At 34.7% G+C, this 16,586-nt stretch overlaps 1 protein-coding gene across 22 annotated transcripts in view; it reads left to right on the top strand.

The window, feature by feature from the left end:
* Positions 1-16,586, top strand: part of FER (FER tyrosine kinase) — a 448,945-nt gene that overhangs the window by 92,615 nt on the left and 339,744 nt on the right. Inside the window, exons 7-8 of one of the 22 annotated variants that reach the window (NM_001308038.2) lie at positions 1,320-1,357; positions 1,751-2,490. The exons of 20 other annotated variants lie outside the window; for them this stretch is intronic. In NM_001308038.2, coding sequence (NP_001294967.1) covers positions 1,320-1,330 — 11 coding nt within the window. In that variant the 3' untranslated portion in view covers positions 1,331-1,357; positions 1,751-2,490. Of the gene's footprint in view, positions 1-1,319; positions 1,358-1,750; positions 2,491-3,040; positions 4,446-16,586 lie in introns of those variants that run through there. One more of the 22 variants, XM_047416947.1, reaches the window with a different exon arrangement.

Raw genomic sequence — 16,586 nt, forward strand, 5'->3', positions numbered from 1 at the left:
TACTTTTTACTCATGACTTTTTTTTTTTCTGGAGTCCAGTTTTCTTGTAAAATTTCTCATATGCTGGATTGTCTGATTGCATTCTCATGACTACTGTTTAACTTGTCCCTGATCTATCCCCTATATTTCCTGTAAATTTAAGGATAGTTCTAGAGGCTTGATTAGATTCAGGTCAAACATTTTTGACAGGACTGCTTCATAGATGACGATGTATACTTTATGTTGCATCCTACCAGGAGGCACATAAAGTTGGCTTGTCTTACTCTTAGTGCTCAGTCAAGTTTGATTTCTTTAGTCAAGTAGTGACTGCCAGATCTCTCCATTGTGAAGGTACCTTTACCCCATGTAATTGGTAAGTAACTGCAGAGAGATACATTGGCATGTGTGAATAACCTATCCCCCAACAACCTTCTATCCAATGGCTTGGCATCCATTGATCATCCTTGCCAGTAGCAATATTACGTTAACAGCCCATCATTTGTAAAATGCCTAGCAGATGACTGGGAAGAGAAAGGAGGGTTGAGGGAAGAAACAGAGAACAATGTAAAGAGGGAATAAAAAGCTGGAAATGGGAAAACAATTCCAAAAGCTTTGCTGATACCCTTCTCTTTTTACGTTTAACTCTTTCCAAAGTCATGAACCCTTTAAGGTAATGCTGGCTTGAAGCAGTGAGCAAAGAAAGCCTCTTGCTCAGGGCTGTCACTTTACTAGGTAGTGAACGCATTTCAGTTAGAAGTGTTTCTTGACATCAGCATAAAATAACAGGTACTTAAATGCAAAATACACAGATTTTACCTTCCTATTGAAGGTTAAATTCCGAACACCTTTAGTGGGTTAAACACTTGGTTAGGTTTAGCCATAAAACAGTTTTGTGAATCCATAAAGCTTGTATCTGCACTAAGTAGTATAAAGGAAATAATATATTTTTAAAAACTTTTAACTTGTATATATTAGGAAATAAATAATACTCTGAGATTTATCTCTTAGGAGACATCGAGAGGTTTGTTGGGGGCTCTGGCAAATATGGGGAATTCAGGTACTGTTTGCCATGATGTGCCTTAACAACTCCCTTTGACTATCATCAATGCTGTTGTTGTTCATGGGAAATAATTCTAATGTGGGTTTTAGTCTGTTAATTAATTTTAAAAACATGAATAGTGAAGGTTTGTGTCAGGAGTAACAAAGTAGTATTTAAGCTGCTGAACCTGCAGTCTGTTTTGTACCATCAGGTGAGAGTGAGAGCCAAGTGGGAGGTCTTTCTGGACCAATGGTGTGCAAAATACTCAGTCTTCCTTTCTTTTTTTCCTATGTCTTATCAGTGAAGAAGTGATGGATGGTTGTGGGAATAAATTATGTTGTAAGTACCTGGGATTTGTAAGGATTAGTATTTTTGTATGTATTTATATAGATGCTGTTTAGGTCCTTTTTTGAAAATCAACTATTAAAATTATGAGATAACCTGAGAAATTTTACCCAGACAGGATATTTGATATTAAGGAAATCTTGTTATATTATAGCTTTGATAATGAAATTGTGATTTTTTTGATGTTCTCTTTATTTTTGCATTAAATGCAGAAATATTCACAGCTGAAGTGATGTGATATCTGAGGTTTGCTTCAAAATTATCTAAAGAATAGGGAGTAGATAGATAGAAGTATAGATGAAACATGATTGATCATGAATTGATGATCATTCAAACCAGTTGATAGGTACATGGAGATATTGAACAATTCTTTCTACTTTTGTATAGGTTGGATTTTTTCCACAAAAATTATATAAAAATAAAGAATGTCACCATAAGAAATGAAAGAAAACTAGACATTGGCATAGGCAAGTATTTCATGACCAAAAACTCAAAAGCAAATACAATAAAAACAAAGATAAATAGCTGGGACCTAATTAAACTAAAGAGCTTTTGCACAGCAAAAGGAACAGTCAGCAGAGTAAACAGAGTGGGAGGAAATCTTCACAATCTATACACCTAACAAAGGACTAAAATCCAGAATCTACAACGAATCAGTAAGAAAAAAAACTAACAATCTCATCAAAAAGTGGGCTAAGCACATGAATAGACATGAATAGACAATTCTCAAAAGAAGATATACAAATAGGTAACAAACCTATGAAAAAATGCTCAACATCACTAATTTTCAGGGAAATGCAAATCAAAACCACAATGTGATACCTCCTTACTCCTGCAAGAATGGCCATAATACAAAAACAAAACAAAACAAAACAGTAGATGTTGGCGTGGATATGGAAATCAGGGAACACTTCTACACGGCTGGTGGGAATGTAAAATAGTACAGCCACTATGGAAAACAGAGTGGAGATTCCTTTAAGAGCTAAAAGTAGAACTACCATTTGATCCAGCAATCCCACTACTGGGTATCCACCCAGAGGAAAAGAAGTCATATGAAAAAGATACATGCACATGCATGTTTATAGCAGCACAATTCACAATTGCAAAATCGTGGAACCAACCCAAATGTCCATCAATAAACAAGTGGATAAAGAAACTGTGGTGTATATAAGAGTGTATACAGAGTGCTCCTGCCTCACACTCTTCCCCTCAAATCCCAAAGTCCACTGTATTATTCTTATGCCTTTGCATCCTCAGAGCTTAGCTCCCACACATCAGTGAGAACATAACTCAGGTTTTCCGTTCCTGGATTACTTCACTTAGAATAATAGTCTCCAATCTCATCCAGGTCACTGCAAATGCTGTTAATTCATTCCTTTTTTATGGCTGAGTAGTATTCCATCATCTATCTATCTATGGAAAACAAAAAAAGAAATGAAAGAAAGGTCTCAGATGATCCTTATTGGGGCAACTATTTCAATATCAAATTATTCTGAATCTATTCCTTATCATTTTATATTTATATATGAGTACATTTATGTATTAATCCTTCATTTAATCACTCATTTAATAAGAATTTCTTTTGTTTGGTAAATGCCAGAGATATAAAAATGAAAAAGATGTGGACCCTACCTTCAAGCCATTGAAAGTTGAATTTTTTTTTTTTTTTTTCCCAAGATGGAGTCTCGCTCTGTCGCCAGGCTGGAGTGCAGTGGTGTGATCTCGGGTCGCTGTAGCCTCCACCTCCCAGGTTCAAGTAATTCTCCTCCTCAGCCTCCTGAGTAGCTGGGGCTACAGGTGTGCGCCACCAAACCCAGCTAATTTTTGTATTTTTAGTAGAGATGGGGTTTCACCATGTTGGCCAGGATGGTCTCTGTCTCTTGACCTCGTAATCCACCCACCTCAGCCTCCCAAAGTGCTAGGATTACAGGTGTGAGCCACCATGCCTGGCTGAAAGTTGAAATTTTTATAAAATCAAATTTTTACCTAATTAAAAAAAATTTCAAGCCCGTAGAAAAGTTGAAATGATAACATAATGAACTCCTGCATACTTTTTACCTGGATTCAAAAATTGCCAAAATTTTGTCACGGCTAGGCTTCTGCTGTCTCTGTTTCGCCTCTTTCTATGTATATATATATGTGTGTGAACATATATATGTGTGTGAACATATATATGTGTGTGAACATATATATGTGTGTGAACATATATGCGTGTGAACATATGTGTGTGAACATGTGTGTGAACACATATATGTGTGTGAACATATATGTGTGTGTGAACATATATATGTGTGAACATATATATATAGTTTTCTTTTGATGAAGCACTTGAAAGTATATTGTAACATCATAACATTTCCTTTTAAATACCTAAGCATATATTTTCTAAGAACTGTATTTTCCAACACAACCCTAATTTAATATGCCCAAGAAATTAAACTTTGATACACTAAAAAAATTAAATATATAATCTGTTTTCAAATTCATTACAAAAATGTCCTTTATAACCTTGTTTGTTTTGGATCCAGGGTCCAAATAAAGGTTTATATATTGTGTTTAATTGCCATGTAGAAGAATTGCCCTTACCCTCTTTATTTTTTAACAGGTTCATTTTGATACAGTTAACATACAACAGACAGCACCTATTTAAAATATTTATTTTGATAAATTTTGACATATGTACACACCTGTGAAATTATTACTACAATCAAGATAATGAACATGTCTTTCACCCCTGAAAAATTCCTAGTGCCCTTTTGTAATCCCTGTCTTCCACCTCTCTGTGATCTTCCGTCTTCTATCTCGAGGCAACTACTGAACTGCCTTCTGTCACTGTATAGTTTGGTTTTCATTTCTTAGAATATTTTAAAAAGGAACCATATAGTACACACTCTATTTTGTCTGCCTTAATTTGTTCAGAATAGTTATTTTGAAATCCATCCATGTTGTTGCATGTATGAGTAATTCACTTTTTAAAATTGCTCATTAGGACTCTATTGTATGGATCTACTACAGTTTGTTTATCCATTTTCCTGTTAATAGGCATTTGGGTTGTTTCCAGTATTGGGCCATTACAAATAAAATGACATTTTTGGATTGTTCATTGCTGGTGTGTGTGTGTGTATATATATATATATATATATATATATATATATATATATATATACATATATATATATATATATATATATATACACACACACACACACACACACACACACAATTGATTTTTGAATATTAACTTTTATCCTATGGACTTACTGAACTTGTTTATTAATTCTAGTAGACTTTTGTTTTGTTTTGTTTTGTTTTTTTTACATGGTGTCTTGCTCTGTCGCCCAGGCTGGAGTACAGTGGCACCATCTTGGGTCACTGTAACCTCTGTCTCTCAGGTTCAGGCGATTCTCCTGGCTCAGCCTCCTGAGTAGCTGGGACTACAGGTGCCTGCCACCACTCCCAGCTTATTTTTTGTGTATATATATTTTTCCAGTAGAGATGGGGTTTCACCATGTTGGTCAGGCTGGTCTTGAACTCCTGACCTCAAGTGATATGCCTGCTCGGCCTCCCAAAGTGCTGGGGTTACAGGCATGAGCCACCGTGCCTGGCCTCTAGTTGGTTTTTTAAAAATGAATTTCTTAGGATTTTTTACTTATAGGATCATGTTATCTATGTATAAAGACAGTTTTACTTTTACCTTTTCAATCTAGGTGACTTTTTTTTCTCCTTCTTTTTCTTTTTCTTTTTCTTGCCTAATTGCCCTGGCTAGATCCTCCAGTATGATATTGAATAGAAGTGAGAGGAGCAAACAATGTTGGCTTGCCTTGTTCCTGAACTTAGGTGTAAAGCATTTATTTAGTCTCTCACCTTCAAGTATGATGTTTGCTGTAGTTTTTTAAAGACTTAAAATCCTACTGAAGTAATTTTTCTCTATTCCTGTGTTAGAATGGATGTTGGATCTTGTCAAATGCTCTTTCTGCATCTATTGAGATAAATAGATACCTATTTTGTTTGTTAATATGGTTATTTTGATTGATTTTCACATTTCAAATATTACACCAACCTTGCATAAAATCTCGCTAGTCATGACTAAGGATACAATTTTCTTAGTCATGATGTATTACTACTTTTTAAATTGTTGGATGTGATTTGCTAAGTTTTTGTTTATAATTTATCACCTATGTCTATGTTTCTTGTAATGTCTTTGTCTCATTTTCATATGAGGATAATGCTGGCCTCAGACTGATTACCTTCTCACCAATTTTCTAGGAAGATTTGTGTTGAGTTAGTATTATTTCTTTCTTAAATATTGGTAGACTTTGCTTGTGAAACCATCTGGATCTGCTTGTTTTTATTTTTCCTTTTTGGTTAAGCTTTTAAAGTATAAATTCACTTTCTGTAATCAATATAGGCTATTTTAGCCCAGTATGGTGGCATGTGTTGGTTGTCCCAGCTACTTGGGAGGCTGAGAAGGGGGAGGATCGCTTGAGCCTAGGAGTACGAAGTTATATGCCATTGTACTCCAGACTGGGTGACAAAGTGAGACCTTGTCTCTGGAAAAAAAAAGAAAAATGAGGCTACTTAGTTTGTTTCTTTTTATTTTAGGTTTGGTAGGTTGTCTTTTCAGGAATTTGTCCATTTCATATAAGTTATAGAATGTATTGATAGTAATTTGTTCATAATAGTCCTTTATTCACCTTTTTATTTATATATTTTTTATTTATTTATTTTGAGACAGTCTTGCTCTGTCACCCAGGCTGGAGTGCAGTGGCGCGATCACGGCCCACTGCGAGCTCTGCCTCCCGGGTTCACGCCATTCTCCTGTCTCAGCCTCCCAAGTAGCTGGGACTGCAGGCACCTGCCACCACGCCCGGCTAATTTTTTTGTATTTTTAGTAGAGACGAGGTTTCACCATGTTAGCCATGATGGTCTCGATCTCCTGACTTTGTGATCTTCCCGCCTCGGCCTCCCCACCTTTTTATATTTATAGAATGTGTAGTGACATTTCCTTTATTAGTAGTTTTTCTCTTGTTTCCTGATCATTGTGACTAGAGGTTTATCAGTCTTATTAATCTTCTCAAAGACCAGCTTTTGGTCTTTTTTCTTCTGTTTTTGTGATTTCTACTTTAACACTTTCTGCTTTGTCCTTATTTCCTTCCTTCTGCTTGCTTTAGGCTTAGTTTGCACTTTTTCTGTTTTTCTTAATGTGGAAGCTGAGGTCATTGATTTGAGAACCATCTTCTTTTCAAATGCAAGCATTTGGTACTCTAAAGTTCCTTAAATACTTTTTTTTTTTGCAGTTTGCCCTCAATTTTATATATTATGTTTTCATTTTTATTCCGGTCAAAATGCTTTCTAATTTCCTTTTTGATTATTTTTTTGTGTGTGTTTTTCTTTGATTCATAGGTTATTTAGAAGAATGTTGTCTAGTTTCCTAATGTTTTATCGTTTTTCTAGAGTTTTTTAATTTTTTAAAATTTAATTTCGTTGTGGTCTGAGAATGTTTTTATGACTTTATTTCTTTTACATTTATGTAATAGTTTATTATGGCCAGTAAATGTCTGTTTTGGTAAATGCTTTATGTGCACTTGATAAGAATGTGTATTATGCTATTGTTCTTTGGAGTGATCTACATTGTCAACTTGGTCCAGTTGTTTAATAGTATTATTCAAATTTGTTATGTTCTTAACAATTTTTTTGTCTACCTGTTGTATCAGTTATTGATGGAAGGATATTGAAATCGCCAACCATAATTGTGGATTTGTGTATTTCTTCTTGTAGTTCTATCAGTTTTTACTTTATGTCTTTTGAAACTATTATTGGTATGTAAGCATTTATGAGTATTATATTCTTTTGATGACCTGACTACTTTATTATTATGAAATGACCTTTATTATGCCTGGTAATAATATTGTTTGCTCTGTTATTCATTCCGTTTGATATTAACGTAGCCATTCCAGCTTTCTTTTGATTAGTGTTTATGTAGTATATTTTTTCTTTTTCCTTTTTTACTTTATATTTTATTTTTTTTACAACAGGGTCTCACTCTGTTGCTCAGGTTGGAGTGCAGTGGTGGTGCGATCATAGCTCGCTGCAGCCTCGAACTCCTGGGCTCAAGTAATCCTCCTGTCTCAGCCAACTGTGTAGCTGGGAATACGAGCATGTGTTGCCATGCCCAGCTAACTTTTTATAGAGATGGGGTTTCGCCATCTTCCCTAGGCTAATCTCAAACCCCTGAGCTCAAGTTATCTGCCTCCCTGGGCCTCCCAAAGTGTTGAGAGTACAGGTATGAGCCACCACATCTGACCTATCTATATTCTTTTTTCATACTTTAACCAGTTTCAGTCTTTATTTCTGAAATGCATCTCTTGTAAACAGCATATAGTTATCTCTTTTGTTTCTTGATAATCCTTACCTTTTAATTAGTGGCATTTAGACCAATATTTAAATGTAACTGTTTATAATGTTAGGTTTAATCTGTCATTTTGCAGTTTATTTTCTTTTTGTTCCACGTATTCTGTATTTCACTTTGCCTTTATTCTACCTTTCTCTGGATTAATTGAACATTTTTCTGAAGATTCTTATCTCTTCTGCTAATTTGTTAGCTCTAATGTTTTATTTTATTTTGTATGTAATTTACTATAATATACCTTTAACTGGTATTATGCCACTTTGTATATATACCATGTATATAGTATGGGAATCTTACAATAGGATAGTTCTGTTTCTCCCTTTCCTGTCTTTGTGCTATTATTGTGATATATTTTATATATTTTACTTTTGCTTATGTTACAAACTACACACTACATTGTTTTTGTTTTGTTTAAATAGTAAATTATCTTCAATAATAAAATATTTCATATATTTATCCAAGTACTTATCTTTTCCAGCATTCTTTATTTATTTATCTATGTCTCTATTTCTATTTGGTATCATTTTACTTTTGCCTGAATGGCTTACTTTTAACATTTCTTGTAATGTAGGTCTGCAAGTAATGAATTATGTATGTCCGAAAAAATATTTATTTCACTTTCATTTTAAAATATATTTTTTGGGAGTATAGAATTTTTTTTTAAACAGATTTTTACCTCTTTATGTATTTAAAGATGTTTCTCCAGTGCCTTGTCACGGAGAAATCTGCTCTAATCCTTATCTTAGTTGCTCTGAACATTTCATTTTCCTTTGGTAGCTTTTAAGATTTTCCTTTTATCATTAGTTTTAAGCAATTCTATCATGATTTACTTTGTTGTAAGTTTTTTATTAAAGTTTTAATTTATGTTTGTGTTTTTTGAGCTTCTTGTATTTGAGTTTTTAGTTTTCATCAAATTTGGAAAACTTTCAGCCATTATTTCTTCACATATATTTTCTGTCTCCCCTTCTCTTTTTGCTTTCTTTCAGAGACTCCAGTTACACATATATTAGGCTGCTTGTAGTTCTCTTACAGACTCCTAATGCTCTGATAATTTTTTTCCCCTTGTCTTTTTTTTGTTTCATTTTGGTTAGTTTCTATGACTATGTCTAACAGTTTAGTAATCTTTTCTTCTGCAATGCCTAATTGCCTTTAATCCCATCTGGTGGTGGTTTTGTTGTTGTTGTTGTTGTTGTTGTTTTGTTTTGTTGTTGTTGTTGTTATCTCAGGCAGTATAGGTTTTGCCTCCTCAAGTATGATTTGGGTCTCTTCTTAAACCTTTTATATATCTACTTAACTTTTTGAACATACTGAATACCACTATAATAACTGTTTTGAAATCCTTGTCACCCAGTTCTAACATCTGTGTCAGTCACTTTCAGTTGATTGATTTGTTCCTTCATTTTGGTTAGATATTTTTGCTTCTTTGAATGCCTGATAACTTTTGATGAGATGCCATACATTGTGCATTTTAAACTCATTAGACTGGGTCTCATTAACATTTCTAATAAAGCTATAAGACTTCTAGTCCAAGGAGAAAATGTAGAACATTGCCTTGATTCATGACAGAGAGAATAATAATAAAATTTTGTTTGTGAAATGATGGAAGTTTAAAAATCACATTATTAGGGCCAGGCGCGGTGGCTCACGCCTGTAATCCCAGCACTTTGGGAGGCCAAGGCGGGTGGATCATGAGGTCAAGAGATCAAGACCAGCCTGGCCAACATTGTGAAACCCCGTCTCTACTAAAAAATGCAAAAAAAAATTAGCTGGGCATGGTGGTGCGCGCCTGTAGTCCTAGCCACTTGGGAGGCTGAGGCAGGAGAATTGCTTGAACCTGGGAGGTGGAGGTTGCAGTGAGCCTAGATCGTGCCACTGTACTCTAGCCTGGTGACAGAGCAAGACTCCGTCTCAAAAAAAAAAAAAATCATATTATTAGTGCCTTTTTTGAGCTTGTTTTTTTTTCCTCTTGAAATTTATAATGATCCTCTACTGTTTTTCTGTATGATATCTATAATATACTTTTCCATGTGTTTATTTTGTTTCATAAATTAATCTGAGGATTCCAGTTAAGGTGTTTCTGATTTTTCTTCTGCATAAGTTAAATAATTGAAGTTTTTGTATACTATACTTAGATAATCCTTTTGTAGTACTTGATTTTTCAAGGGATTCCATAAGTTTAGGTTTATCACTGTACACCTTTAAGTAATTTGTCGTTGTGCTTGATTTGTCTTTTGATCTCATGTGAAATGAGAAAAAATTTTATATAAAACTTGAAGGAAAATGTGTTATCTCTTTTTTTAAGTTGGAATACTATTTGTTTTTCTATTAGAAAACATTAAACTTTTAAGATTTACTTTTTATTTTTTTTCTTGTCAAGGGATTTCTGAAGAAATGCTGCAAAGAATATCTGTGTATTCTGTTTATTACAGTAATTTTGTTTATTTAGGGCAGATCATAATTGATTTTACTACACCGTTATTTTACAGTATTCACAAAAATTAATAATGGTCACTTACAATGTTAGATAGTTTCTCTGGAAATTTCTCATAGACAAACAGTTTTCAAGTACATGATTGGGAGAATAAAGAAATAGTTGAAACCAAATCTGTCTGATTTCAGTGTCCATGGCCTTTGTTGGTTTTGCTTCTTCCTATGAAGAACATGAATTAAATTAAACTCTGTTAATGATAATGAAAGACCAAAACACATTAACCTAAGTTTTAGAGTCTTAGTGGAGTTTATCATCCTTCCTAATTTGTTCTGAGAGTTATATGAGTTTATTTATTCCCAGATATTTTGGGCTCACCATTTCCTCAACTTGTTCATGTTGTAGATAATATACATCATTGTATTAATCTGTTTTCATGCTGCTGATAAAGACTGGGCAATTTACAAAAGAAAGAGGTTTAATGGACTTACATTTCCATATGACTAGGGAGGCCTCACAATCGTGGCAGAAGGCAAGGAGGAGAAAGTCATGTCTTACATGGATGGCAGCAGGCAAAGAGAGAGATTGGGCAGGGAAACTCTGCCTTATAAAGCCATCAGTCTCATGAGACTTATTCACGTGAGATTTATTCACTATCATGAGAACGCCATGGGAAAGACCTGCCGCCATGATTCAGTTACCTCCCACTGGGTCCCTCCCACAACATGTGGGAATTCAACATGAGATTTGGGTGGGGACAAAGCCAAACCATATCAGTCATCTTCACCTATATATATACACATGCAGGTTCTTGTGCGGATGCCATGTAGTACTTTGTTCAAAGTAAAAAAAACAAAAACAAAAATTAAGAGTAAATATAATGCATGCCAATTTTATAATATGTAAGCAAAACCATATTTAATTGTATGGTATTGAATTTAATAATTTCAAATGTGATTTTTCTTTGAAATTTTATAGTTTACTTAAAGATATTCTGAAGTATCAGAAAAGATGTTAAAAATAACTACCTTGTAATTATATATTCAGATATAGCCTACTTAATTGATTCTGTATGTTTAGAATTATGCTAGGGTTTTATGTTTACCAAGCCTCAAAATACCCATCATAGTATTTATAAAGGCTTTCTCTTACATGAGTAGGAGTCTGAATGCTTCTGCTTTATCATACATCATGTTCAGGAAAAAGAAAGAAAACAGGATAGCTACTCCACATTACACATGCCCATGTCAGTCAGTCTAGAGGCACTTGAAAGGAGTTCTCTTCACCCTCTTTTATCACACAAGTGGGGAAACAAACTATCTTCCTAATTATCCTTTCTCTATGATAAATAAAAGAATGCTAAGGGATGGGTAAACCCAATGATAATTTATAAGCCGTCATTTACCCTAAGCAGACAGAGTAAGAGGATTACCTACTGCTAGAACTGTGGGGAGTAGCTGCAAGTCTCATTCAAAAGTAAATTTTTCTGTAATTGGGAAGTAGATTTTCTTAAATTGCCTCTTCATGCATTATGAATAGTTTGTGATATTTTATAGCCAATTAAAATTGATTAGATCTGTTGAGTTGTCTCTGTAGAGTACTTTAATTATGAAAACCAGTTTGAAATGAGTCCAGCCTTGAGACAGATGGTTAAATTTATGTTTAAATAAGTCCACATTTTAAAAAATGGATACGACTTTTTAAAAGCTCTTTTAGTTGATTTCCTCAATTTGAGGTCACCAAGAATGGCAACTAGCCTTCTTATTCAATATCTGTATATTTTGGCGATATTTAAATATCAAATTTATGTTCAGGTGATATATGGAGGTCCTTATATTCTGGAATTCAAATTTCTCTCTCAGTTTAACATATGGAAAAATTCATATTGGACATGGTAGTGGCCAAAGTAGAGTTCAAGCTACAGTTGTTGGTCATGAATTCTACTGAAGTTACCTGAAAATGAGAGGTTTCCACTTATTTTTGGATTTAGTGATTAATATATATCAGCAGCTAACTTATGGAATGAATGCTTTTTGCTGCATAAAGTATGAAGTGAAATTTCATTAATATGATAGGAATTTTACAAGGTAATTAAAAGTAATGGCACTCTTAGCTTTAATTTGCATTGGTTTAAAGCTGTGCAGAAATTGGAATGACAGCTATAATAATCTCATTAAACACTGAAATATATGGGATGGAATATGCTATATGATTCATTTATATTCTTTGTATTACTTCCTAAATTTGTCCATATTTTGCTTAGTTTTGATAAGTAAACAAAGCTAAGTTCTACACATGAAAAACTTAAGAGAAGTTCTGTCTTTTTGCTAATTATCTTCTATATTTTATCGGTAAGCTTCTTTGCAATATTAGTTTTGGACTTAATTACTAAAAAGATGATATAAATATCAGAGGGTAGAATTGATAATATAAACAGCGTGATCTGAACAGCACAAGGTAAAATTATAATCTTTCAATAACTTTTTAAAAATTGATTTGTTTAAATTTCTTTTTTTCAAATAAGAACTATATCAATTTATGCATTTAAGAACTATTTGTTGAGTTCTTGCTATATGTTAGTCACTGCTCTCTTAATTTGGGATATTGTAGATAACAATACATACAAAAATCCCAGCCTCCTTGAGGCTTACATTTTAGAGCAGAAGATAGCTGATTCATAAAATAAATAAGTGAAACATAGCATATGAAATGGTGATAAATACCATGGAGAAAAATGAAACAAGGTAGGAAGATTGGGTATTGAGAAGATGATCATGTATTCCTCATGGAGAAAGAAACATTTAAATAAAGAATGAAGGAAGTCAGGGAGTGAACCATGTGATCATCTGTAGCAAAGAGTACTCTAGGTAGAGGGAATAACCAAACAAAGTCATTGAGATTTTATCATTTCCGGCATATTTGAAGATCAGTACAGATACCTTTTTGTCTATAACTGAGTTGATTGATAAGAGAGAGGCATGGAGGTATGAGATGAGGTCAGAGAGGGAGAATGATGGTGGTTGACAGGCGATGCATAGATTATGTAGGATCTTGGTAGTTCCTTTAAAACACTGACTTTTACTCAAGTAAGATGGGAAGCCATTGGAGTGTTTTGAGCAGAGGAGTGACGTGAATGAACTTACATTTTAACAGGATAATTGTTGTAACCTTTTTGAGAATAGTCTGAAATGAGAGAGGAAGGGCAGAAGTAAGGAGACAGTTACTTCCAGGCTATTGCAGTAGTTTAGGCAAGGGGTCATGCTGGTTTGGACCTGGTTGGTAGCAAAAGAAGTGCTGAGAAGTGCTCAAATTCTGTATAAACAATTAATTCTTGTTATTCATGGTAGTTTGATAAAGTCACTGTGTACATTAAATTAGTTAGTGCTGACTTGTTTCACCTAGGGGACATAAAGGTTTGTTTCCTGCAAGCAGTGACACAACATTTTCAGCAACTGATCAATACATAACTTTATTTTATGTATGTTTTCATTTAAAGACACCTAATTTAACATTGAACTCACAACCAATGGTGCTATAACTGATGGCTAAATGAAACTTATCTAGTACAGGTATCTTCTCTTAAAGGGTCATCACAGCCTTTTTGAGTGTACGACCATTATACTTCGGCACTAGAGCCGTTTCAAACAGTGAAATCACCAACAAAATTCACAAAAATGTGAAAATTGCACCACATAGACTGCAAATTGTTTACAGTTGTGAAAGCTGAAACAAAAAGTGGAGCCTAACTTTGTTCAACCTCAGCTAAGAACCTGTGCCTTTACTCAAATTTTTTGCTGCTCTGCACATGGCATGCCTGTAACTGACCTGGAATGCAATGCATGTATTGTTTTGGGGGTTTTAAAGAAATTTTACCCAGTAGGTAAATTCAGGAATGCAGCTTTCACAAATAATGAAAATCTACCATATATTGAAAGTAGAGCGGGCTGGACGTGGTGGCTCATGCCTGTAATCCCAGCATTTTGGGAGGCCGAGGCAGATGGATCACTTGAGGCCAGGAGTTCAAGACCAACCTGGCCACTGGCCATCATGGTGAAACCGTGTCTCTACTAAAAATACAAAAAATTAACCAGGCCTGGTGGCACACGCCTATAGTCCCAGCTACTAGGGAGGCTGAGGCACCAGAATTGCCTGACCCAGGAGGCGGAGGTTGCAGTGAGCCAAGATTGCCCCCACTGCACTCCAGCTGGGCTGACAGAGCAGCAAGACCCTGTCTCAAAAAAAAAAAAAAAAAAAAAAAAAAGCGTAGAGGATTTGCCATTGAATTGGATGTAGTTTGTGAGAGAAAGAAGAAAAGACTGATTCCAAGATTTTTGGCCTGAGCAACTGGAAGAATGGCATTATTATTAACTGAAATGGGAAAAATGTGGGAAGACTGGTTTTTAGAGTCTTATTAGATACTCAAGTGGAACTGTTGAATTAAATCTCTAGTTCAGCAGTTCCAGGGAGAGGTCTGGAGTAGAACTATAAATATGAAATGTTAATTGTCATTTAAAGCCATGAGATTTTATGACATTACCAGTAATATAAATGAAGATAAAAAAGAGAAGAGTCTTAACAAAGACTGAGCCCAACATTAAGAAGTCAGCGAAATAAAGAGTTAAAAAGAATACAAAAGACCGGCCGGGCGCGGTGGCTCACGCCTGTAATCCCAGCACTTTGGGAGGCCGAGGCGGGCAGATGACAAGGTCAGGAGATCGAGACCACGGTGAAATCCCGTCTCTGCTAAAAAATACAAAAAATTAGCCGGGCGCGGTGGTGGGCGCCTGTAGTCCCAGCTACTCGGGAGGCTGAGGCAGGAGAATGGCGTGAACCCGGGAGGCGGAACTTGCAGTGAGCCAAGATCGCGCCACTGCACTCCAGCGAAAAAAAAAAAAAAAAGAATACAAAAGACCAATGTAAAAGGAAAACTAAGTGAATGTACTATTCTGGAAGACAGATGTGGGAAGATAGGTTTCAAGGAAGAGCAAGTGATCAACTAGGTTGAATACTGCTAAAACATAAGGTGAGGATTAAGATTTGGAGTTAGCAAAGTGTAGGTTATTGGTGATTTTGACAAGAGAAGTTTCAGTGGAGTAGTACAGGGAAAACCCTAAATGGGCTGGGTTTAAGAAAGAAGGAGAAAAAAGAAACTGGAGATAACTAGTATCAGTTTTGCGGTAAAGGGGAGGAATGAAATACGGAATTAACTGGAAGAAGTGTAGTAAAGGGAGGATTTTTTTTTTTTTTCAAGATTGGGAGCTATTACAGCTTGTTTACTGATGGAAGTGCACTTCTAGGGAAGGAAAAACAGTTGAGGCAGCAGGAATGAAGGAAGAATTGCTGGAGAAATGTCCCTGAGTAGGTGAGAGAGGATACATCTAGTACCCCAATAAATAGATTAGTCTTCACTTTGAACAAGGACAGTTTATTCATAGTAATAGCTTAGGAGAGATGGAGAGATATAAATTCAGATAAAAAGGTTAGATATGCTGGTGAAAGCTTATGGAAGTTCTCTTCAGAGTAATTTTTAAAAATGGGGTTCACAGACTCCCTCTTCACACTAATATGGTTCAGATTTCAAAATCATAAGGTACAAACCATTAAGTATACAATGAAAAAGTTTTTTTTCCCACTCATTATTCATTTTTTTCCTCCAGAGGCAACAGATATTATCTGCTTTTTCTAGAGATATTTTATGCATAACATGTAGCTTTTAAGCCAGTTTGTTAAGTGTGTTCATCAACTTATTAGATACCTTTCGTATCATAGTACATATTAGGAGTTGGAGGTTAGTATGTGTTTGTTTATGCTAAATTAATGATGATCTCTACATTTTTGATACAGTCATATCCTAACATGATGACTATTTGGTCAGCTTTCATTTTAATTTTCGTATCCAGTATCTTTTAGGAAGAGACTATAACTGTGCATCCCTCACATAACCTAGGACACCATGGATTGTAGATAAACATTTAAAGGATGAATGCCCTAAATTTTCTGTAAATGTTGTTCTTCCACACACTCGACTAGTCTTCTAAAGTAGAGTTAAATCTTTTTTTTTTCAGTGTGACTTCTTTGTGTGTTAATATTACGTGTAGTGGAAACATACCTGCTAGGAGACATACAAATTAAAACTAAATTTTCTTTTCTGAACTAGGAAATCAGTGTTTTGATATTTAAAGAACAAATTGTTGAGGTTTCTTATCTGTAGGCTAAATAATACCAGTTCTTTAGATACAATGAATATTCTGATACTTTAAAATTTTGATCCAATTTTCACAGCTTTCTTTTAACTATATTTTAACGTCATTTCAGTCCTAGAGAAATGTTGAAAGAATAGTAGAAAGAATTCCCATATACCGTTCACTCATGTTTCCCAAATGTTC

Source organism: Homo sapiens, chromosome 5 (assembly GCF_000001405.40).
Source record: "Homo sapiens chromosome 5, GRCh38.p14 Primary Assembly".
Lineage (NCBI taxonomy): Eukaryota > Metazoa > Chordata > Mammalia > Primates > Hominidae > Homo > Homo sapiens.